Below are 25,467 nucleotides of genomic sequence, written 5' to 3'. Positions count from 1 at the left end.
ACCACGTTATGGGCTGATAGACAGCCTGGCAAATATGACATATAATTTGAAGCAGCTACAGAGATGATATAGTGCTTAATTGAACCATATTTTTGATCACGATCTGTAGATGCCCAGATCGCTGATCTTCACGTATATCTCCATTATTAAGGCAATTCATTTTAAGTGACGAGAAAGTTCTGACTTTAGTTAAACTGGATGATTTGGTGAACATATTTTAATTGGGGGGGACAATGCCTTTATTGATTTATAGCATTATAGAACTAATGATACTTCATGCACTTGACTCGTTGGTTGGTTGCATTATTCATCCTCTACCTCAGGGGTTCCCAACCCCTGGACCGTGGACCAGTTATCTTATTTGGAAGGATGCCACAAGTTAGAAGCTATTGTGGCAGTCTAAGTAGGTAGTAAGGGTCTTGACTGTGGTATTGTACATCTTCTAGGCTCAAAACAGCTTTGAACTCCCAGGCCCAGGCGATCAGATCAGATCTAGATGATTTCTTTTAATGGCTCATTTCCCCTGGAAGCCCATAAAACAATTTCAAGATTTTCTGTTTTTATTACTCTGCCTGTTCTTTTATCTTCTGCAGAAATTCTTGATTTCAGGCTTCCCAGCCAGTTTTAATGATCCTGGAAGTACAGAGAGGTAGTATTAACAATTAACTGAGGCTGGGCATGGTGGCTCACACCTGTAATCCCAGCACTTTGGGAGGCTGAGGCAGGCAGATCACCTGAGGTCAGGAGTTTGAGATCAGCCTGGCCAACATGGTGAAACCCTGTCTCTACTAAAAATACAAAAATTAGCTGGGTGTGGTGGCGGGTTCCTGTAATCCCAGCTATTTGGGAGGCTGAGGCAGGAGAATTGCTTGAACCTGGGAGGTAGAGATTGCAGTGAGCTGAGATTACGGCACTGCATTCCAGCCTGGGTGACAAAATGAGACTCCATCTCAAAAACAAACAAACCTCAACAAACAAAAAAACCACACAAAAAAACCAAAACAAAAAAACCCAATTAACTGTATGTCCATAAATACCATATCACACCCAGGCCCATTTTATACTGTGTGGCTTTTCAAAGGCACCACATCTTTAATAACCTATTACTTATGATGTCAAAAAAGATGTATATTTTGCCCAAAAAGCTACAACTTATATTGTTTTGTAACCTTGAAGAAACATCTGGGATTTAGTTTAGCCCCTAAAATATTATTTTAAAAAATTATTTTTAATTTTAGGGGGTTCATAGTGGGTATATATTTTTATGGGGTACATGAGATGTTTTGATATAGGCACACAATGTGTAATAATCATATCATGGAAGATGGGGTAACCATCCCCTCATGATGGGATATCCATCCCCTCAAGCATTTACCCTTTGTTTTATAAACAATCCAATTATACTCTTTTAATTATTTTTCAGTGTACAATTAAATTATTATTGACTATAGTCACCCTATTGTGCTATCAAATACTAGGCCTTATTCATTTATTCTAACTACTTTTTGGACCCATTAACTATCCCCACCAGCCTCCCACTATGCCCCCACCACCCTTCCCAGCCTCTGGTAACCATCCTTCTACTCTCTGTGTCCATGAGTTTAATTGTTTTGATTTTTAGATCACACAAATAAGTGAGAACATGTGATGTTTGTCTTTCCGTGCCTGGCTTATTTCACTTAACATAATGACCTCTAGCTCCAACCATGTTGTTGCAAATGACTAAATCTCATTATTTTTTATGACTGAATAGTATTCCATTGGGTATAAGTACCACATTTTCTTTATCCATTCATCCATTGATGGACACTTAGGTTGCTTTCAGATCTTGGCTATTGTGAACAGTGCTGCAACAAATATGGGAGTGCAGATACCTCTTCAGTAGACTGATTTCCTTTCATTTGGGTATATGTCCAACAGTGGGATGGCTAGATCATATGGTAGCTCTATTTTTAGTTTTTTTGAGGAACTTCCAAACTTTTCTTCATAGTAGTTGCCTAATTTACATTCCTGCCAACAATGTGTGAGGGTTCCCATTTCTCCACATTGTTGCCGGCATTTGTTATTGCCTTTCTTTTGGATATAAGCCATTTTAACTGGGGTGAGATGATCTCTCACTGTAGTTTTGATTTGCATTTCTCTGATGATCAGTGATGTTGAGCACTTTTTCCTACGCTTGTTTGCCATTTGTTGCCGTCTTTTGAGAAATGCCTGTTCAAATCTTTTGCCCATTTTTAAATCGGATTATTACATTTTTTCCTATAGAGTTGTTTGGGCTCCTTATATATTCTGGTAATTAATCCCTTTTTGCAAATATTTTCTCCCTTGCTGTGGGTTGTCTCTTCACTTTGTTGATTGTTTTCTTTGCTGTGTAGAAGCTTCTAAAATATTCTTTTAACAGTAAGTATAACATTCACCCAACATACTCTCATCAGTGAATTTAATAGTAATCAGCAAAGTCTGATATGAACATCCCTTAATCTCAGAACATTTTAGGCAGTAATGGAGTCTAGCCATTAGGCTGTCTTCATAATCTGTGAAATGAATCTGTCTTAACCGTGAGGCATGCCAGTACAAGACTTTCTTGGTATTTTAGTAATTAAGCCCTTTGGGATGGAGTCCAAGGTGGGCCTTTCTTGTATCTATCTGTATGAGTATTTTGATGTTCAAGAAAGGCCCTAGAGTACACAAACGATATAGACCTGTATAAAAGTTCCTGGTTATTAGGTTGTTTAATTGAAGTTAAAAAGTTTAAACCCAAACCTAATTTTTCTAACTCTTGCATTTCACTTTGGCACTGAACTCTCTTAAATAGTCAATAGGACTTTCAAAAATAAATTGAAATCCCTGAAACATTTAAAGCTCTATTTATAAATTAGTTAATTTTCTTTTTTTTTAAATTAAATATGTCAAGTGACTAGCTTAGCAAGATGATATTCAGAGCAGGCAAAACCTTCCCAGATACTTAATTTTGGAAGTTGCGCTATACTTTTCTTTACATTAATGATTAGTTTCCATTTCCATGTTCTCATAATCATACATGTATTTTCTCTATTTGAAAATAAAATGATTTCTTTCACCCAGGTTTTCTCTCTCTCTTTCTGTGTATGTATGTTTGTGTTTTAAATCATGGTTCTCTCTTCTCCTCTACTTCTCTTCCTTATAAAATAAGATCTTTAGGAAACTTTAACTTCCTCCTTCTCTCAGTCTCATACTTCTAGATGAGACTTTTGAAACTCTTTTATTCACCCATTCTGCCTCCGTCAGTTTAATGTTTTTTGCTTTTCATTCAGATTTAATTATTTGTGTCATTTTTTTATTATTATTATACTTTAAGTTTTAGGGTACATGTGCACAACGTGCAGGTTTGTTACATATGTATACATGTGCCATGTTGGTGTGCTACACCCAGTAACTCGTCATTTACATTAGGTATATCTCCTAATGCTATCCCTCTCCTCTCCCCTCACCCCACAACAGTCCCTGGTGTGTGATGTTCCCCTTCCTGTGTCCAAGTGTTCTCATTGTTCAATTCCCACCTATGAGTAAGAACATGTGGTGTTTGGTTTTTTGTCCTTGTGATAGTTTGCTGAGAATGATAGTTTCCAGCTTCATCCATGTCCCTACAAAGGACATGACCTCATCATTTTTTATGGCTGCATAGTATTCCGTGGTGTATATGTGCCACATTTTCTTAATCCAGTATATCATTGTTGGACATTTGGGTTGGTTCCAAGTCTTTGCTATTGTGAATAATGCCACAATAAACATACGTGTGCATGTGTCTTTATAGCAGCATGATTTATAATCCTTTGGGTATCTACCCAGTAATGGGATGGCTGGGTCAAATGGTATTTCTAGTTCTAGATCCCTGAGGAATTGCCACACCTACTTCCACAGTGGTTGAACTAGTTTACAGTCCCACCAACAGTGTGTCATTGTTTAGTGTTTATGTTGCTTCTTCTCTGTATCACATTCTATCTTAATGTATCAGTTTTGGATCATTTGTATTTGCCTGATACGTTCTTAAGTATTTTTGTTCAGTTAAGTTCTCTGGGTGATATTCTCTGATTTCTTGTATAAGCTCAAATGCCAATCTGTTTTTTTCTTTTCCTTTGTAGGTAACATGTTCTTTTTGCCAGACTACTTGTTAAGAGTTTCTTTTTTATTGTTATGTATATTTTGTTACCCGTTCTTTAGTTTGGAGCTTAGTGAGTTCTTTATTTTGGAACTTAGTGACTTTCAGTCTACAGAGTCAAACCTTTGTGTTAGGGAAGAAATTTTTTTGTTTCCTATTATTGCCTTTGCCTCTATTAAGTCCCCTTAATCTTTTATTTTATGATATATTTCTTTTTACATTTTACTTTGTGAATTGAAGTTTTTTTGTACTTGTTCTCTTAGCTAATTTCATCTTCTTTTTTAATTGTTCAAATTCAATTTGAGTAGATAAATTATTTTTAAGGGTTCTTCACGTATAGATACATACACACAAGGTATTTTTATAATAAATTTAGGTTATTTTCTTTCTTTTTGAGCTTTGGAGCTTTATTCATTCAGTGTACATGTTCTGTTTTATTCTGACTGTTCAGAACCTATCTTTTAGCTGCTAAGCAAAGTATCTGCGCTTCTTTGCCCTTTCCCCTGCTGTGTTTTCTTCAGTAGCCCCCATGATGCATATGGCTCTGCCTTGCTTGTCTTAGGTGCACACACCCACATTAGGAGCCCTAGTCCTTCTGGTCAGTTGTTAAATTACTTTACAGGGTAATTTTCCAGTTTTTGTTAGTACCCTGGGGGCAAGCATCTCTCTTGTTGTGGAAAGGGGTGGGGTATAGCCTTTGAACTTCTGTTTTTCTCTTTAGGTCAGTATGATACCACTTGCTTTTAAGTTTTTCAGTCTTTTAGTCTTTCAGAAGTGTATCAAAGTCTGATCTCTGGCCTTCTGGTGCCATTCATACCATTCTGTTAAGGATTTATTTTTTCCTATTTAACTTAATGATTTTTGAGACACTTGGAGAAGGAGAGATTTGCTTCCTCACATATATGCAGTCTAGGATTGGAAGTCCACTGGGAAGTTTTTTTCATAGGTTTTGAGAGGAAACTTTTCTGCAGGGAACATTCACTGAGGCAGAATCGTGGTGCCTTTCATGCAATTTGGTGGGTCTTAGGAGTGTGAATGGCTGCTTCAGTGTCTTCTTCAGCTGGCAGGTGGGGTCTTCCAGAAAAAAATAGTTTACCACATCAGGAATGATGAAGATATGGTCAAGCATTCCACTTTTCCTATCTGCAAAACAGGGCTTAAAATAGTATATCAAACAATAACTAGTTAGAAGATACAATGGAAGAAAAAGTGCCACTTTCAGGAGCAACAAAGATGAGATACCAGAAATAAACTTAACAACAAACTCTAAAACCTACATGATAAAAATGTAAAACATCATTGAAGAACATAAAAGAAGTTTGGAACAATTGAAGAATATGTCTTCTTCATAACTGGAAATACACAGCACCATAAAGATGTTAGTTTAAGGTAATTTATAAATTTAATGTGATGATAAGAATCCTTTTTAAAAAACTAAATAAATTGATCTTGGCTAAATAATTTAACCAAGAAACTTTGTAGGAAAAAGAAAAAGAACAAGGGTAGTGGATATAGAGGACTTTTGCAACTAGATGTTGTATTGTGAAGTCTTAGTCTCAGTAATTAAAACCCATTGGTTGTGGGACATGAAGAGAAGTATTATGGGGTAGAATGGAAATCCTAGAAAATATACCCACGTTCATAGGAATATTTAGGTATGGTAAAGATGGCTTCTCAAAAGCTAATGGAGATGATATGTACTATTCAGTAAATAGTTTTGGAGAAACTGAATATTCACCTGTGGAAGTAAAGAAAATAGGAATCCTACCTCATACCAAGGATGAATTACAAATGATCAAAGATTTAAATGTACTAAATGAAAACATAAAAAATTTTTTAAGGCCGGGTGCAGTGACTCATGTCTGTAATCCCAGCATTTTGGGAGGCTAAAGTGGCAGGATCCCTTGAGGCCAGGAGTTTGAAACCAGCCTAGTCAACATAGCAAGACCCCGTCACTACAAAAGAAAAATAAAAAACTTAGCCTGGCATGGTGGTACCTGCCTGTAGTCCCAGGTACTCAGGAGACTGAAGTGGGAGGATCTCTTGAGCCCAGGAGTTTGAGGCTATAGTAAGCTACGATTACACCACCGCCCTCCAGCCCTGGAAATAGAGCGAGACCCTGTCTCCAGAAAAAAAAAAAAGGTAATAGAAAACATAGAGAATTAACACAATTTTTTTTTATAATAGGAAGGCATTTTGAACTATGATTTAAAGCAGTAAAAGAAAAAGCCATGAAGGAAAGGGTTGAGAAATGAGGCTACATAAAACAAAAAACATCTACATTACATAAAATATCTACATTACAATATATAAAACATCTGCATTACAAAAAACAAAGTAAGCAAGGACATATGACGACCTGGGAAAAATACCTGAAACTCATATTACAGATGAAGGATTAATCTCCTTGATATACAAAGAACTAAAAATGGTTAAGAAAAAGTCCAACAACCCAATAGAAAAATGGGCTAATATATAAAAATATTTTTTTTACTGTAGAAAATTTGTTTTTCAGATATATTTGTACATATATAGAATGACATATAAATGCACAAACTTATTGTAGCATTGTTTGTAATAGCAGTAGATTGGAAAGAATTTATTCAAGTACTCATCAGTAGGGGATTAGTTAAATAAATTAAGGAATAGCTACACAGGGGAACATTATATAGTTGTAAAAACAGCAAAGAAGTTCTATGTATTGATATGGAAAGTCTCCAGGAAAAGTTAGAGGAAAACAAGGTATACAACAATGTGTAAACCTACTAAGAAGCAGCATATTTACACATTGCTTTTATACTCTGTGTGGCTGTATTTTTTCATACATATGAATAATTTATGTGTGAATATATGCAGCTATAGTAATAAAGTTTAGAAGACTCTATTGGAAATTGATTACCTTGGCAGGTAGAGAATTTAATGGGTTGGAATTGGGCAGATTGGAGACAGGGATGGGAATAATTTTTCTTTATATGCCTTTTTGATTTGTGTATGGTTCAATTGTAATACATATGAAGAATTATAGTATATAAGACATTTTGAGTGGGAAGTGACCAAAACTGAATTCCAACTGGCTTCAGCAAACCTCTGTTCCATAGTCACCACCAATGTAACTGTCCTCATCGGTGTTAGAGGGTTAGTTTCTTTATTTTTTAGGAATTCTGGGAATATTAGATTTATGTAAGTGATTATTAGTCCACATAGGCTAACCAGAACAGAGTTCCTGTATTTTAAGAGGCTTTACAATTTAATTTATTAATATCCTTTGAAAAGTAGGAAAATTTATTGCACCCTATGATAAGCAGATAATGACTTTTATCAGTTCCAGGCACACAGAACGCTGGTAGTCTCAGATTTATATCATCAGCCGTGGGTAAAATGAATAGAGAACACCAAACTGAGCACTTCGGACATATCTCAAAGAGCTGTTCTCTCCAGTGGAATTGAGGCATATTTGTACACAGACAGACAAAAATTGACTAACAAACCAAATTCTCTGTTGCTAATAGAGAGTAGATATCAAATGGTCTGACCATAAAATGGACTTCCAGCCATTGTTGCCACCAGTGGATAGTAACTGGCGACAACTGTTGCAGAGCCAGAACCAAATTTGGCGAAGAATAAGAAATAAACAAAAACCGATCGGAAGAATAGAAAGAGAAAGATATCCTGCTTGGAATTTATTCCAGGGATGAAGAAAAGATATTCCTGGGAGTGAACAGTCCCTGAGGTGCAGTTCCTGGGTAATATGCTATATTTGTCTTGAGAAGGAAATCCGCTTGGACTTCTCTGTGGAACTTCAACATTGTCAAGTGTAATTTTTCATAAGTTATGAGCAAGAATCTCATACAAATAAAGTGAATATGTGACAGATATTTACATAATTTCTTAGTGAGGGAAACAGCAAGATGATAAGGCTGGTTCCCATAATCTTTCAATTTGGGGGAAGTAGTTTTCTCTCCTATTTTTCATTTTCATTGAATGCATTCAGGTTTAAGTCTGAAGATGTTTTACAGAAAACTCTGGTAAAAAATACAGCAGTAGGTTACTTAGGTATTATGGTTGGCAGCCCTTAACTACAGCTTTTTTGTTAGATATGAAACTACAATCAAACACTTTAAGCATAAAATTTGTCCATAATTTTAAAAGCATAGAACAAGAGAGTCAAATAAATGGATACTAAATTTCTTATTGAGTTGGTTCATCATTGCATGGCCCATAATGTATATATAAATATAATTTTTATACCTCTTAAACTGTGTAACATTTACCAATAAACTTTTACACTTTGAGGTATAACACATATAATAAAGTCTACAAATCATAAATGTACAGCTTGATAAATTTATACAAAATATATACCCAGATAATCACAACCCAATCAAGGTATAGATTATTTCTAGCACACACAAAACCTTTGTCCCTTCTAGTCAGTACTTCTCCCAAAGGTAACTTATTCTGACTTTGTCACAATAGATTAATTTAGCCTGTTCTTGAACTTAATGCCAATAGAATTATATAGCATGTACTCTAATGTCTGACTTCTGTTGCACAACATTTATGAGATTCATCTACTTTTTGCAAATTCCTTTTTATTTATGAGTAGTAGTCTATTGTATGAAAAATATTAAAACTAGTATTGTTGATTTATTTTTTCTCTTAATAAATAATTGTATATAGTGGTATATGTAAATACACGATTTTTTTAATATATTGACCATGTAAACCAGTGATCTTGCTAATGTATTAATTCTAAATTGCTTATAGAGTCTTTTAGATTGTTTATTTACATGTTATGTCTTCAAATAAAGAAAAATGTTTTCTTTTCCAATTTTTTTTTATTATTATACTTTAAGTTTTAGGGTACATGTGCACAATGTGCAGGTTAGTTACATACGTATACACGTGCCATGCTGGTGCACTGCACCCACTAACTCGTCATCTAGCATTAGGTATATCTCCCAATGCTATCCCTCCCCCGTCCCCCCACCCCACAACAGTCCCCAGAGTGTGATGTTCCCCTTCCTATGTCCATGTGTTCTCATTGTTCAGTTCCCACCTATGAGTGAGAATGTGCGGTGTTTGGTTTTTTGTTCTTGAGATAGTTTACTGAGAATGATGATTTCCAATTTCATCCATGTCCCTACAAAGGACATGAACTCATCATTTTTTATGGCTGCATAGTATTCCATGGTGTATATGTGCCACATTTTCTTAATCCAGTCTATCATTGTTGGACATTTGGGTTGGTTCCAAGTCTTTGCTATCATGAATAATGCCGCAATAAACATACGTGTGCATGTGTCTTTATAGCAGCATGATTTATAATCCTTTGGGTATATACCCATTAATGGGATGGCTGGGTCAAATGGTATTTCTAGTTCTAGATCCCTGAGGAATGGCCACACTGACTTCCACAATGGTTGAACTAGTTTACAGTCCCAGCAACAGTGTAAAAGTTTTCCTATTTGTCCACATCCTCTCCAGCACCTGTTGTTTCCTGACTTTTTAATGATTGCCATTCTAACTGGTGTGAGATGGTATCTCACTGTGGTTTTGATTTGTATTTCTCTGATGGCCAGTGATGATGAGCATTTTTTCATATGTTTTTTGGCTGCATAAATGTCTTCTTTTGAGAAGTGTCTGTTCATGTCCTTCGCCCACTTTTTGATGGGGTTGTTTGTTTTTTTCTTGTAAATTTGTTTGAGTTCATTGTAGATTCTGGATATTAGCCCTTTGTCAGATGAGTAGGTTGCAAAAATTTTCTCCCATTTTGTAGGTTGCCTGTTCACTCTGATGGTAGTTTCTTTTGCTGTGCAGAAGCTCTTTAGTTTAATTAGATCCCATTTGTCAATTTTGGCTCTTGTTGGCATTGCTTTTGGTGTTTTAGACATGAAGTTCTTGCCCATGCCTATGTCCTGAATGGTAATGCCTAGGTTTTCTTCTAGGGTTTTTATGGTTTTAGGTCTAATATTTAAGTCTTTAATCCATCTTGAATTGATTTTTGTATCAGGTGTAAGGAAGGGATCCAGTTTCAGCTTTCTACATATGGCTAGCCAGTTTTCCCAGCACCATTTACTAAATAGGGAATCCTTTCCCCATTGCTTGTTCTTCTCAGGTTTGTCAAAGATCAGATAGTTGTAGATATGCGGCATTATTTCTGAGGGCTCTGTTCTGTTCCATTGATCTATATCTCTGTTTTGGTACCAGTACCATGCTGTTTTGGTTACTGTAGCCTTGTAGTATAGTTTGAAGTCAGGTAGTGTGATGTCTCCGGCTTTGTTCTTTTGGCTTAGGATTGACTTGGCGTTGTGGGCTCTTTTTTGGTTCCATATGAACTTTAAAGTAGTTTTTTCCAATTCTGTGAAGAAAGTCATTGGTAGCTTGATGGGGATGGCATTGAATCTATAAATTACCTTGGGCAGTATGGCCATTTTCACGATATTGATTCTTCCTACCCATGAGCATGGAATGTTCTTCCATTTGTTTGTATCCTCTTTTATTTCCTTGAGCAATGGATTGTAGTTCTCCTTGAAGAGGTCCTTCACATCCCTTGTAAGTTGGATTCCTAGGTATTTTATTCTCTTTGAAGCAATTGTGAATGTGAGTTCACTCATGATTTGGCTCTCTGTTTGTCTGTTGTTGGTGTATAAGAATGCTTGTGATTTTTGTACATTGATTTTGTATCCTGAGACTTTGCTGAAGTTGCTTATCAGCTTAAGGAGATTTTGGGCTGAGACAATGGGGTTTTCTAGATATACAATCATGTCATCTGCAAACAGGGACAATTTGACTTCCTCTTTTCCTAATTGAATACCCTTTATTTCCTTCTCCTGCCTAATTGCCCTGGCCAGAACTTCCAACACTATGTTGAATAGGAGTGAGTGGTGAGAGAGGGCATCCCTGTCTTGTGCCAGTTTTCGAAGGGAATGCTTCCAGTTTTTGCCCATTCAGTATGATATTGGCTGTGGGTTTGTCATAGATAGCTCTTATTATTTTGAGATATGTCCCATCAATACCTAATTTGTTGAGAGTTTTTAGCATGAAGGGCTGTTGAATTTTGTCAAAGGCCTTTTCTGCATCTATTGAGATAATCATGTGGTTTTTGTCTTTGGTTCTGTTTATATGCTGGATTACATTTATTGATTTGCTTATATTGAACCAGCCTTGCATCCCAGGGATGAAGCCCACTTGATCATGGTGGATAAGCTTTTTGATGTGCTGCTGGATTCAGTTTGCCAGTATTTTATTAAGGGTTTTTGCATCAATGTTCATCAAGGATATTGGTCTAAAATTCTCTTTTTTGGTTGTGTCTCTGCCCGGCTTTGGTATCAGGATGATGCTGGCCTCGTAAAATGAGTTAGGGAGGATTCCCTCTTTTTTTATTGACTGGAATAGTTTCAGAAGGAATGGTACCAGTTTCTCCTTGTACCTCTGGTAGAATTCGGCTGTGAATCCATCTGGTCCTGGACTCTTTTTGGTTGGTAAGCTATTGATTATTGCCACAATTTCAGCTCCTGTTATTGGTCTATTCAGAGATTCAACTTCTTCCTGGTTTAGTCTTGGTAGAGTGTATGTGTCAAGGAATTTATCCATTTCTTCTATATTTTCTAGTTTATTTGCGTAGAGGTGTTTGTAGTATTCTCTGATGGTAGTTTGTATTTCTGTGGGATCGGTGGTGATATCCCCTTTATCATTTTTTATTGCGTCTATTTGATTCTTCTCTCTTTTTTTCTTTATTAGTCTTGCTAGCGGTCTATCCATTTTGTTGATCCTTTCAAAAAACCAGCTCCTGGATTCATTAATTTTTTGAAGGGTTTTTTGTGTCTCTATTTCCTTCAGTTCTGCTCTGATTTTAGTTATTTCTTGCCTTCTGCCAGCTTTTGAATGTGTTTGCTCTTGCTTTTCCAGTTCTTTTAATTGTGATGTTAGGGTGTCGATGTTGGATCTTTCCTGCTTTCTCTTGTGGGCATTTAGTGCTATAAATTTCCCTCTACACACTGCTTTGAATGCGTCCCAGAGATTCTGGTATGTTGTGTCTTTGTTCTCGTTGGTTTCAAAGAACATCTTTATTTCTGCCTTCATTTCGTTATGTACCCAGTAGTCATTCCGGAGCAGGTTGTTCAGTTTCCATGTAGTTGAGCGGTTTTGAGTGAGATTCTTAATCCTGAGTTCTAGTTTGATTGCACTGTGGTCTGAGAGATAGTTTGTTATAATTTGTGTTCTTTTACATTTGCTGAGGAGAGCTTTACTTCCAAGTATGTGGTCAGTTTTGGAATGGGTGTGGTGTGGTGCTGAAAAAATGTATATTCTGTTGATTTGGGGTGGAGAGTTCTGTAGATGTCTATTAGGTCCGCTTGGTGCAGAGCTGAGTTCAATTCCTGGGTATCCTTGTTGACTTTCTGTCTCGTTGATCTGTCTAATGTTGACAGTGGGGTGTTAAAGTCTCCCATTATTAATGTGTGGGAGTCTAAGTCTCTTTGTAGGTCACTCAGGACTTGCTTTATGAATCTGGGTGCTCCTGTATTGGGTGCATATATATTTAGGATAGTTAGCTCTTCTTGTTGAATTGATCCCTTTACCATTATGTAATGGCCTTCTTTGTCTCTTTTGATCTTTGTTGGTTTAAAGTCTGTTTTATCAGAGACTAGGATTGCAACTCCTGCCTTTTTTTGTTTTCCATTTGCTTGGTAGATCTTCCTCCATCCTTTTATTTTGATGTGTGTCTCTGCACGTGAGATGGGTTTCCTGAATACAGCACACTGATGGGTCTTGACTCTTTATCCAATTTGCCAGTCTGTGTCTTTTAATTGGAGCATTTAGTCCATTTACATTTAAAGTTAATATTGTTATGTGTGAATTTGATCCTGTCATTATGATATTAGCTGGTTATTTTGCTCGTTAGTTGATGCAGTTACTTCCTAGTCTCAATGGTCTTTACACTTTGGCATGATTTTGCAGCGGCTGGTACCGATTGTTCCTTTCCATGTTAGCGCTTCCTTCAGGAGCTCTTGTAAGGCAGGCCTGGTGGTGACAAAATCTCTCAGCATTTGCTTGTCTGTAAAGTATTTTATTTGTCCTTCACTTATGAAGCTTAGTTTGGCTGGATATGAAATTCTGGGTTGAAAATTCTTTTCTTTAAGAATGTTGAATATTGGCCCCCACTGTCTTCCAGCTTGTAGGGTTTCTGCCGAGAGATCTGCTGTTAGTCTGATGGGCTTCCCTTTGAGGGTAACCCGACCTTTCTCTCTGGCTGCCCTTAACATCTTTTCCTTCATTTCAACTTTGGTGAATCTGACAATTATGTGTCTTGGAGTTGCTCTTCTCGAGGAGTATCTTTGTGGCGTTCTCTGTATTTCCTGAATCTGAACGTTGGCCTGCCTTGCTAGATTGGGGAAGTTCTCCTGGATAATATCCTGCAGAGTGTTTTCCAACTTGGTTCCATTCTCCCCATCACTTTCAGGTACACCAATCAGACATAGATTTGGTCTTTTCACATAGTCCCATATTTCTTGGAGGCTTTGCTCATTTCTTTTTATTCTTTTTTCTCTAAACTTCCCTTCTTGCTTCATTTCATTCATTTCATCTTCCATTGCTGATACCCTTTCTTCCAGTTGATCGCATCAGCTCCTGAGGCTTCTGCATTCTTCATGTAGTTCTCGAGCCTTGGTTTTCAGCTCCATCAGCTCCTTTAAGCACTTCTCTGTATTGGTTATTCTAGTTATACATTCTTCTAAATTTTTTTCAAAGTTTTCAACTTCTTTGCCTTTGGTTTGAATGTCCTCCCATAGCTCAGAGTAATTTGATCGTCTGAAGCCTTCTTCTCTGAGCTCGTCAAAGTCATTCTCCATCCAGCTTTGTTCCGTTGCTGGTGAGGAACTGCGTTCCTTTGGAGGAGGAGAGGCGCTCTGCTTTTTAGAGTTTCCAGTTTTTCTGTTCTGTTTTTTCCCCATCTTTGTGGTTTTATCTACTTTTGGTCTTTGATGATGGTGATGTACAGATGGGTTTTTGGTGTGGATGTGCTTTCTGTTTGTTAGTTTTCCTTCTAACAGACAGGATCCTCAGCTGCAGGTCTGTGGGAGTACCCGGCCATGTGAGGTGTCAGACTGCCCCTGCTTGGGGGTGCCTCCCAGTTAGGCTGCTCGGGGGTCAGGGGTCAGGGACCCACTTGAGGAGGCAGTCTGCCTGTTCTCAGATCTCCAGCTGCGTGCTGGGAGAAGCATTGCTCTCTTCAAAGCTGTCAGACAGGGACATTTAAGTCTGCAGAGGTTACTGCTGTCTTTTTATTTGTCTGTGCCCTGCCCCCAGAGGTGGAGCCTACAGAGGCAGGCAGGCCTCCTTGAGCTGTGGTGGGCTCTACCCAGTTCGAGCTTTCTGGCTGCTTTGTTTACCTAAGCAAGCCTGGGCAATGGTGGGCGCCCCTCCCCGAGCCTTGCTGCCGCCTAGCAGTTTGATCTCAGACTGCTGTGCTAGCAATCAGCGAGACTCCGTGGGCGTAGGACCCTCCGAGCCATGTGCGGGATATAATGTCCTGGTGCGCCATTTTTTAGGCCCGTCGGAAAAGCGCAGTATTTGGGTGGGAGTGAACCGATTTTCCAGGTGCCGTCTGTCACCCCTTTCTTTGACTAGGAAAGGGAACTCCCTGACCCTCTGCGCTTCCCGAGTGAGGCAATGCCTCGCCCTGCTTTGGCTTGTGCACGGTGCGCGCACCCACTGTCCTGTGCCCACTGTCTGGCACTCCCTAGTGAGATGAACCTGGTACCTCAGATGGAAATGCAGAAATCACCCGTCTTCTGCGTCGCTCACGCTGGGAGCTGTGGACCGGAGCTGTTCCTATTTGGCCATCTTGGCTCCTCTTTCTTTTCCAATTTTTACATTTTTTCTTGCTTTTTTTCCCCAAGTGAATAAGACCTCAAGTACAGTGTTGAATAGAAGACAACATTCTTGATTTGTTCATGATCTCAGTGGGAAATCATTTAGTATTTCAATGTTAAGTGTGATGCTTAGCTGTATTTGTGTTTTTCAATAATTTTCATTAAAATATTTTAAAGAATTTATGAATAGGTATTAAATTTCACCTATTGAAATCATATGTGATGGATTACATTTATTGATTTGCATATGTTGAACCAGACTTGCATCCCAGGAATGAAGCCGACTTGATCGTGGTGGATAAGCTCTTTGATGTGCTGCTGGATTCAATTTTCCAGTATTTTATTGAGGATTTTTGCATCGATGTTCATCAGAGGTATTGGCCTGAAGTTTTCTTTTTTGGTTGTGTTTCTTTCTGGTTTTGGTATCAGGATGATGCTGGCTTCATAAAATGAGTTAGGGAGGAGTCCCTCCTTTTTAATTGTTTGGAGTGGTTTCAGAAGGAATGGTACCAGCTCCTCTTTGTACCTCTGGTAAAATTTGGCTGTGAATCCGTCTGGTCCTGGGCTTTTCTTTTTTTTTTTTTTGGTTGGTCTATTAATTACTGCCTCAATTTCAGAACTTGTTATTGGTCTATTCAGGGATTCAGCTTCTTCCTAATTTAGTCTTGGTAGGGTGTATGCATCCAGGAATTTATCCATTTCTTCTAGATTTTCTAGTTTATTTGTGTAGAGATGTTTATAGTATTCTCTGATGGTAGTTTGTATTTCTGTGGGGTCAGTGGTGTCCCTAAACATTTTTTATTGTGTCTGTTTGATTCTTCTCTCTCTTCTTTGTTAGTCTAGCTAGTGGTTTTTTGTTTGTTTGTTTGTTTGTTTGTTTTTTCAAAAAAACAGCCCCTGGATTTGTTGATTTTTTTTTTTTTCTTTTTGGAGGGTTTTTCATGTCTCTATCTCCTTCATTTCTTCTCTGATCTTAGTTATTTCTTGTGCTTTGCTAGCTTTTGGATTAGTTTGCTCTTGCCTTTAGCTCTTTTAATTGTGATGTTCGGGTGTCCATTTGAGATCTTTCTTGCTTTCTGATGTGGGCATTTAGTGCTATACATTTCCCTCTTAACACTGCTTTAGCTGTGTCCCAGAGATTCTAGTATGTTGTCTCTATTTGTTCTCATTTGTTTCAAAGAACTTCCTGATTTCTGCCTTAATTTCTTTATTTCCCCAGGAGTCATTCAGGAGCAGGTTGTTCAATTTCCATGAAATTGTGTGCTTTTGAGTGAGTTTCTTAATCTTGAGTTCTAATGTGATTGCACTGTGGTCTGAGAGATTGTTTGTTGTGAAGTTAGTTCTTTTGCATTTGTTGAGGAGTGTTTTACTTCCAATTATGTGTTCGTTTTTAGAATAAGTGCCATGTGGCACTGAGAAGAATGTATATTCTGTTGATTTGGGGTAGAGAGTTCTGTAGACTTCAGAACCAAAGACAAAACCACATGATTATCTCAACAGATGCAGAAAAGGCCTTTGATAAAATTCAACATCCCTTCACGTTAAAAACTCTCAATAAGCTAGATATTGATGGAACATATTTCAAAACAATAAGAGCTATTTATAACAAACCCACAGCCAATATCATATTGAATGGAGAAAAGATGGAAACATTCACTTTGAAAACCAGTACAAGACAAGGGTGCCCTCTCTCACCACTCCTATTCAACATAGTATTGGAAGTTCTGGCCAGGGAAGTCAGGCAAGAGAAAGAAATAAAGGTTATTCAGGTAGGAAGAGAGGAAGTCAAGTTGTCTCTGTTTGCAGATGACATGATTTTATATTTAGAAAACCCAGTCATCTCAGCCCAAAAACTCCTTGAACTGATAAGCAGCTTCAGCAGTCTCAGGATACAAAATCAATGTGTAAAAATCCCAAGCATTCCTTTTTGTCAACAATAGGCAAGCAGAGAGCCAAATCATGAATGAACTCACATTCATAATTGCTACAAAGAGAATAAAATACCTAGGAATACTGTTAACAGGGGATGTGAAGGGCCTCTTCAAGGAGAACTACAAACCACTGCTCAAGGAAATAAGAGATGACACAAACAAATAGAAAAACATTCCTTCTTCATGGTTGGGAAGAATCAGTATTGTGAAAATGGCCATACTGCCTGAAGTAATTTATAGATTCAGTGCTATTCCCATCAAGCTACCATTGACATTCTTACAGAATTAGAAAAAACTATTTTGAATTTCATATGAAATCAAAGAAGACCCCATATAGCCAAGACAATCCTAAGCAAAAAGAACAAAGCTGGAGGCATCACGCTACCTGACTTCAAACTATACTACAACGCTACCGTAACCAAAACAGCAGGGTACTGGTACCAAAACAGACATATAGACCAATGGAGCAGAACAGAGACCTCGGAAATAACACCACACATCTACAACCCTCTGATCTTTGACAAACCTGACAAAAACAAACAATGGGAAAGAGATCTCCTATTCAGTAAATGGTGCTGGGAAAACTGGCTAGCCATATACAGAAAACTGAACCTGGACCCCTTCCTTTCACCTTATACAAAAATTAACTCAGGATGGATTAAAGACTTAAATGTAAAACCCCAAACCATAAAAACCCTAGAAGAAAACCTAGGCATTACCATTCAGGACATAGGCATGGGCAAAGTCTTCATAACAAAAATGCCAAAAGCAATTGCAATAAGAGCCAAAATTGACAAATGGGATCTAATTAAACAAAATACCATCTCCACAGCCAAAGAAACTTATCATCAGAGTGAACAGGCAACCTGTAGAATGGGAGAAAATTTTTGCAATCTACCCTTCTGACAAAGGTCTAATATCCAGCATTTACAAGGAACTTCGAACATATTTACAAGATAAAGATAAATAACCCCATCAAAAAGTTGGCAAAGGATATGAACAGACACCTCTCAAAGGAAGACATTTCTGTGGCCAACAAACATGAAAAGAAGCTCAACATAACTGATCATCAGAGAAATGCAAATCAAAACCACAGTGAGACACCATCTCACGCCAGTCAGGATGGCGATTATTAAAAAGTCAGGAAACAATAGATGCTGGCGAGGCTGTGGAGAAATACAAACACTTTTACACTGTTGGTGGGAATGTAAATTAGTTCAACCCTTGTGGAAGACACTATGGCAATTCCTCAACGATCTGGAACCAGAAATACCATTTGACCTAGCAATTCCATTACCCAAAGGAATATAAATCATTCTACTATAAAGGCACTTGCACACATATGTTTATTGCAGCACTGTTTACAACAGCAGAGACATGGAACCAACCCAAATGGCCATCAGTGACAGACTGGATAAAGAAAATGTGGTACATATGCACCATGGAATACTATGAAGCCATAAAAAGGAATGAGATCATGTCCTTTTCAGGGACATGGACAGAGCTGGAAGCCATCATCCTCAGCAAGCTAACACAGGAACAGAAAACCAAACACTGCATGTTGTCATCCATAATTGGGAGTTGAACACTGAGAACAGGTGGACACAGAGAGGGGAACAACACAGATCGGGGCCAGTTGTGGGGTGGAGGGTGAGGGGAGGGGACGGAAAGTAGAGGACGAGTCAATAGATGCCACAAACCACCATGGCACATGTATACCTATGTAACAAACCTGCGCATTCTGCATATGTATCCCGTTTTTTTTTTTTTTTGAAGAAATTAAAAAGAAAGAAATTATATATATATATTTCCCTTTAATAGTGTAGTGTGATCAATTATAGGGCTTGATTTTAGAACGTTTAATCAATTTGCATTTTGAACTAAAACTCATTCGGTCACTATCCTTTTTGTATATTACTGGGTTTTTGTATATTACTGGGTTTGATTTTATATTTTGTTTAGGAGTTTTATAACTGTGTTCATTATATCAACCTATAATTTTCTCTTCTAGTAATGTCTAGCTTTTGCTCTAAACTCTGGCTTGGCCTTATTGGATGGATTGGGAAGTGTTCCTTTTATTTTTATACTTTGGAAGAATGTTTATACAATTTTTATTATCTTTGGCTTGTATGTTTAAAAGAGTTCAATGGATTCATTTGGGCTTGGAGTTTCCTTACAGATTAATTTTGTTTAATAGCTGTAGGACTGTACAAATCTTTTTGTTTATTGTTTCAGGTTTGGTGAATTGGGTTCCTCAGAGGATTTGTTCATTTCAACTAAATTCTCAACTGCATTGCAGTGAAAATGTTCATAATGGCCTCACAATCTTTTTTTTTTTTTTTTTTTTTTTTGAGACAGAGTCTCACTCTGTGGCCCAGGCTGGAGTGCAGTGGTGCGATCTCAGCTCACTGCAAAGCTTCACCTCCCGGGTTCACGCCATTCTCCTGCCTCAGCCTCCTGAGTAGCTGGGACTATAGGCGCCCGCCACCACGCCCAGCTAATTTTTTGTAGTTTTAGTAGAGACGGGGTTTCACCGTATTAGGCAGGATGGTCTTGATCTCCTGACCTCGTGATCCACCCGCCTCAGCCTCCCAAAGTGCTGGGATTACAGCCTTGAGCCACCATGCCCAGCCCAGCCTTAGAATCTTTTTAATGTTCACAGGCTTTCTGTTTATGGCTCCCTTTTTATTATCTATATTGTAGATTCTCCATTTTTTTATTGGTCAGACTTATTCTAGGGATTGTTCATTTTATTAATCTTTTAAAGAATCAACCTTTGGCTTTGTTTTCTTTTTTATGCATTTACTTTCTATTTTATTGATTTGTTATTTAAACATTTTTAAATACTTTCCTTGAATTAATTTACTATTCTTTTTCTAGCTTCTTGTGATAGAAGCTTAGAAGTAGTAATTTTTCAACTTGTCTAATTTCCAGTAACATGCATTTAGAGCTATGAATTTTGCTAAATACCTCTTTAGTTGTATCCCACACATTTTCATCTATTGTATTTTCATTATCATTCACATAAAAAGACTTTCTAATTTCCATTGTGATTTTTATGTTTGATTTATGAGTTATTGAGTATTGTGTTTCTTTATTTCCAAACATTTAGAGGAATTTCTAGTTATCTTTCAGTCATTGCTTTTTAGTGCAGTTCTGCGGTGGTTATAAAACGTGATTCATGATTTAAATTTTTTTAATTTGTTGAGACTTTGTCTTCTAGCATTTAGTCTATTTGTAAATGTTTCATATATGCTTGAAAAGAATGTGAAAGAAAAAATGAGTTTTGTAGTTGTTGGGTTTAGTGTTCTGTGTTAGTTCACATTGGAAAATTGAATTGTTCAAGTCATATACTTACAGTTTTGTCTGCTTATTCTATCAGCCATTGAGAGGGATTTGCTAAAATCTACAACGGTGATAGTGGATTTATCTGTTTTTTAGTTCTTTCAACTTTATGTATTTTGAAGCTGTTATTTTTTGCATACAAATTTTGTTTACAACTTATTGCATATAAATTGTGTTAACCTGTTAATTTGATGCTTTTATGAAACGTCTCCCTTTATTTCTAGTAATACCTTGTGCTTAAGGTCTACTTTGCCTGATGTAATATAGCTACGCTAGCCTTCTTTGGCTAGTGTTTACATGGTATCAGTTTTTGTAATCCTTCCATTTTCTACCTTTTGGTGTTGTTATATTTAAAGTATGTCTCTTAGGATATAGTTATTGCTTTTTATTTTGAGACAAGTTGCTTTTCTGTCACCCAGGCTGGAGTACAGTGGTGTGAACATGGCTCACTGCAGCCTCGACATCCTGGGCTCAGGTGATCTTCTCACCTCAGCCTGTGGAGAAGCTGGGACCACAGGTGTATACCATTTCACCTGGCTAATTTTTGTATTTTTTTTTACAGATGGGGTCCAACTGTCTTGCCCAGTCTGGTCTTGAACTTCTGGGCACAAGTAATATGCCCACCTTGGCCTCTTGAAGTGCTAGGATTATAGGTGTGAGCCACTGCACCCAGCAGTTGTTGGTTTTTAAATCCCTGCTTATAGTCTTTGTATTTTAATAGGGATCTTTAAGTCCATTTACTTTTTTTAACTAAAAGAATTCACATGCCATGTGATTCACTTTTAAAGTGTACAATTCAGTGGTTTTTAATATATTCATGAAGTTATACGAAAACCACTGTTATCTAATTCTAGAACATTTGAGAAAGAAATCCCTCACCTGAAATCCCTCACCTATTAGTAGAACTCTCCATGTTTCCATCTCCTTAGCCTCTGGAAACAACTAATATAATTTTTGTCTCTATGGGCTTGACTATTCTGAAAATTTCATATATAGAGAATTATATGATTTGTGGTCTTTTGCCTCTGACTTATTTTATTTAGCATAATGTTTTCAATGTTTATCCCTGTGGTAGCATGAATCAGCACTTCATTCTTTTTTAATGACTGAATAATATTTTATTATGTGTACCTAGTGCATTTTGCTTATTTATCCTTCAGTTGCTGGGCATTTTGATTGTCCCTACTTTTTGGCTATTATGAATAATATTGCTATGAATATTCATGTACAAGTTCTTGGTAGACGTGTTTTTATTTCTCTTGATTAAATACCAGGAGTAGAATTGCTTGGTCATTTGGTAATTCTCTGTTTTAACATTTTGAGAAACTGCCAGTCTTTTCCACAGTGGCTGTGCCATTTTACATTCCTTCTAATAATGAATGAGGGGTGTGATTTCTCCGTATCTTTCCCAGCTAGTCTGTTTGCTTTCCAAATTATTAATGTGCTTGAATTTAAGTTTACCATTTTAATATTTGTTTTTATTTGCCTTGTTTTATTATTTCTTCTCTTATTCTTTATTTCCTGCCTTCTCTTAGATTAATATGTATGTTTTATTTTTCAAAAATCTTTTCCTCTATCAGCTTTTTAGTTATACATTTATTTCTCGTTCTTCTAGTGTTCACTATAGAGACTGCAACATATATTTGACTTACATACAGTATTCCATAAAATAGAGCTTTTCTCACTTCTCAACCAATAGAGAAATCCTAAACTGTTTGACTGAATGTACATTTCTTATCCTTTGTGTTTTTAATGTGTATATATTGTTAACTTCATAAGACGTTATTTTTATGTTTATACAGTATTTACTTATATTTCCCCACTTTTGTGCTTTATTCTTTTCATGTGTTTTTGTAGTTTTGGAATCAGTTTTCTTCAATTAGGAATTCTCTTTACTATTTCTTTTATTGCAGTCTCTTGGTGGTAGTTTTTTTCAGCTTTCATTTGTAAATAATTTGTTTTACCTGCTTTCAAAATGGTTACTTTGGTGAGGCAGAAGATTCTAGGTTGGAAATATTTTTTCCTTTTAGCACACTGAAGGTTAATTTCATTATTTTCTCTTTTCCATTGAAATGTCTTCTCCCATTGTAATTATTGCTTATTGGAAGTCAACTTTAAAAAATTCTCTGGCTGCTTTTAAGGATTTCTCTTTGTGTTTGGTTTTTAGCAGTTTGACTGTAATTTACCTATGGTTTTAATTTTTAAAAATTCTGCTTGAGGTTTATAGAATTTCTTTGAATCTTTAGTTTGATGATTTCATCAGTTTTGAAAACTTTTAGCATTTGTTTTCAAATATTGCTTTTGTCACATTCTCTTGTTTTAAAAAATTATCTCCCTTATCTCTGTCATCAATTTAGACATATTTGAGATCTTTTTTTTTAAACCAAGTCTCTCATCCTTTATACTATTTTGTGTATTTTCTGTTCCTTTTTTTCTCTGTGTTCTTCAATGTGGATATTTTCTACTAAACTATCTTCTAGTTCACTAACCCTCTCTTTAGCTATGTTTATTGTTCTACTAAATGTATCTGGTTAGTTCTTAATTTCAGATACTGTATTTTTCAGTTTTAAAATGAACATTTGATTTTATGGCTTCCAATTCTCTGTTGAAATTCATCATTTCTCTCTTATTTTTTACTTTCATTCAATTGAACATATAAATCATAAATGTTTTTAGCAATTTGATAAAAATTTAACTAAATTCTTCTTATGTATTCCTCTTCTCCCCATACTGTGTTCAGAAAAGTAACTGCTTGTCATCCATCTAATCTCAGAGAGGCTTGTGTTTCCATAGTGTTTAAACTAGTTGGTTGCCCTGAGACCTCAGTTTTCTGTTGTGTCCTAGAAAAGTTAAGATTTTCAGATTATCTATTTTTTTTTTTATTATTACTAGGCTAGGGGTGATGCTCTTTACAGCTTTCTGCATCATAGGCAGAAAATCACAAATGCCATTTTAAAGTCTCTTTCTGATAATGCTAAGATCTGAATGAAATGTGAGTCTTTCTGGTTTGACTATTTTTTTTCTCAATTTTCACTAGTTCTTGTTTTTTTAAGCATGCCTCATAATATTTACTGGATACTAGATAATGTGAACGAAAGATTTGCAGAGAGTCTGGAGAATGTTTTTTCCTCCAAAGACAGTTAATTTTTCTTCTCGTACTTCTGATTCTGTCAAGGCTTGGTTTGGGGCTTTGTTAGAATTTTTCTATTGCTATTTTGTCCATACTCTTAAGGCATGGCTTTTTTAGAGTCACACATAAGAGCTCAGGGGTTTTTCAGTGCTCCTCCATCTTGGCAGTGCTTGCTTGCCAGCCCATCTCCTCACCATTGATGGGCTGCCAAAATGTCTACTTGCCTCTTTACTTGGTTTGTTTTGGGTTTCTTGGCATCCTGTCCTACATATTTGTAAGCTTAGGACTCAGTTAATAATTTGAGGTGAATTTTGCTGTAGATTTCTGGGCTCTTTCTCTTTAGGTCTTTTTTGGGGGCATTTTGCATCCTGAATTCCTCCCTACTTTGGTAATCCCAGCCTCCAACCTCTGCCTTCTCATCCCACTAAGATTACAGTTATTATCTTGGGCTCTATTTCCCATGATTGATTTGAAAAGTTATCTTATACAGAAAGAAGGATTAAATGTGGAAATTGCTTGATTGGGCTTTCCTTATCTCAAAGCTTGTAGCCCTGGATGTCCCATCTGTATTGGTTGCTTTCTGTTGCCTTCAGACAAGCTGTTTTATATGTTTTGCCCAACATTCATAGTTGTTCTCATTGAAAATGCTTATTTGCTGCACTCTGCTCCATTGATTGGAACCAGAAATACCATATCTTTTCTTTATTCTGAAATGATACTAATGCTTAGCACAGTTCTGTAAATATTGATTCAGAGTAACTAATTGCTGTTGCAAATCTTTTCAAGGTTCAAATTGTGTTGAACTGATAAAAATCAGTTTTTATATAATAACCATGGACCATAAAGGTTAACTAGCTGTAAACCTTATTTTATCTTCTGGAATAAAAGCAGGTGTTTGGTACATTAGGAGAGACCTCTGAAAGCCAGAGTAGAAATAAAGGATCACTGCTATTCAGTTAAGCTCTTTTAGCTAAACTTCAAATCTGACATGTAGTTTTTCTGCTCTTTCAATTGTGATCATTGGAAGGCTTTCATAGAATTGGAAATTCTTATCAGAATCTTTCGTGTTTTGATCTCTAGGAAGATGAAGTCCTCAGTACATTCTGAAGAAGATGATTTTGTTCCAGAGCTACATAGAAATGTACACCCTCGAGAGCGGCCTGATTGGGAAGAAACTCTTAGCGCAATGGTAAATCAGTTTTATACAATTGTTCATATATACATATATATGTATATATAGCACTTATATAAGGAAAAGGAACTGAGGACACATTACACAAAAAATTTTGTTGCTTTGTTCATTTATTCAGGAAATATTTATTGAGTGAATACTGTATACTTGGCACTGTCGTAGAGTCTGTGGGCAGAGTAATAGGGTTACAGAGTGGTAAAAATACAGTGTGAAAGGATAGGTGCTAATTATATAGGGTAGTCACAGATGGCCTCTGTGGGAAGATGAGGTTTGATCAAAGACCTGAAGGAGGTGAGGGAGTGAGTAGTGTGTTTATCTGGAAACACATCATTTTAGGCAATGGAAGAACAAGTTACAGGCTGTGGCATAGGATTAGAGAACAAGTCGGAAGAAACACAAATAGGATAGTGTGGCTGAAACTGGATGAGAAAGAAATGAGGTCAGAGAAGTGGTTTGGGTGGGTGGAAAGCAGATCGTGCAGTTTCTTGTACTTTATTGATGAAGACTTTTGCTTTTTATGCTTAGTGAGATGGGAAACCATTGGAGGATTTTTGGCTGAGCAGTGACACAATCTGACTTAAAATGTTAAAGAAGTCTCAGGTTACTGTGAGTAGGAGGAGGCAAAAGAAGTAAAGAGAATCTGTGTGTTATAATTAGTAGGTAAATAGTGATGGTAGCTTGAACCAGGATGATAGCACATATGGTGAGAATTGGTTAGATGCTATAGTTTTACTGATAAAGACAGCTGTTGTCAATGAATGGGTAATAAGAGTATGAGATGAAGATATATTAAGAATGGCTTCAAGTTTTTTGGCTTCGTCAACCTGAAGAATGGAATTTATAGTACTGAGATGCTG

The 25,467-nt window shown here is 36.8% G+C and overlaps 1 protein-coding gene across 12 annotated transcripts in view; it reads left to right on the top strand.

Moving 5' to 3' along the window:
* The window catches only part of ARHGAP32 (Rho GTPase activating protein 32), a 314,573-nt gene that overhangs the window by 90,707 nt on the left and 198,399 nt on the right, over positions 1-25,467 (top strand). For 10 of the 12 annotated variants that reach the window (XM_047427929.1, XM_047427927.1, NM_001378025.1 and 7 more), the window contains exon 2: positions 24,499-24,607. In XM_047427929.1, coding sequence (XP_047283885.1) covers positions 24,503-24,607 — 105 coding nt within the window. In that variant the 5' untranslated portion in view covers positions 24,499-24,502. Of the gene's footprint in view, positions 1-24,496; positions 24,608-25,467 lie in introns of those variants that run through there. The other 2 variants (XM_047427928.1, XM_011543073.3) reach the window with 2 other exon arrangements.

The sequence above is a fragment of the Homo sapiens genome, chromosome 11 (assembly GCF_000001405.40).
Source record: "Homo sapiens chromosome 11, GRCh38.p14 Primary Assembly".
NCBI classification, from domain to species: Eukaryota; Metazoa; Chordata; class Mammalia; order Primates; family Hominidae; genus Homo; species Homo sapiens.
The sequence above is the reverse complement of the archived record's forward strand: the minus strand, read 5'-3'. Positions and strand labels throughout refer to the sequence as shown.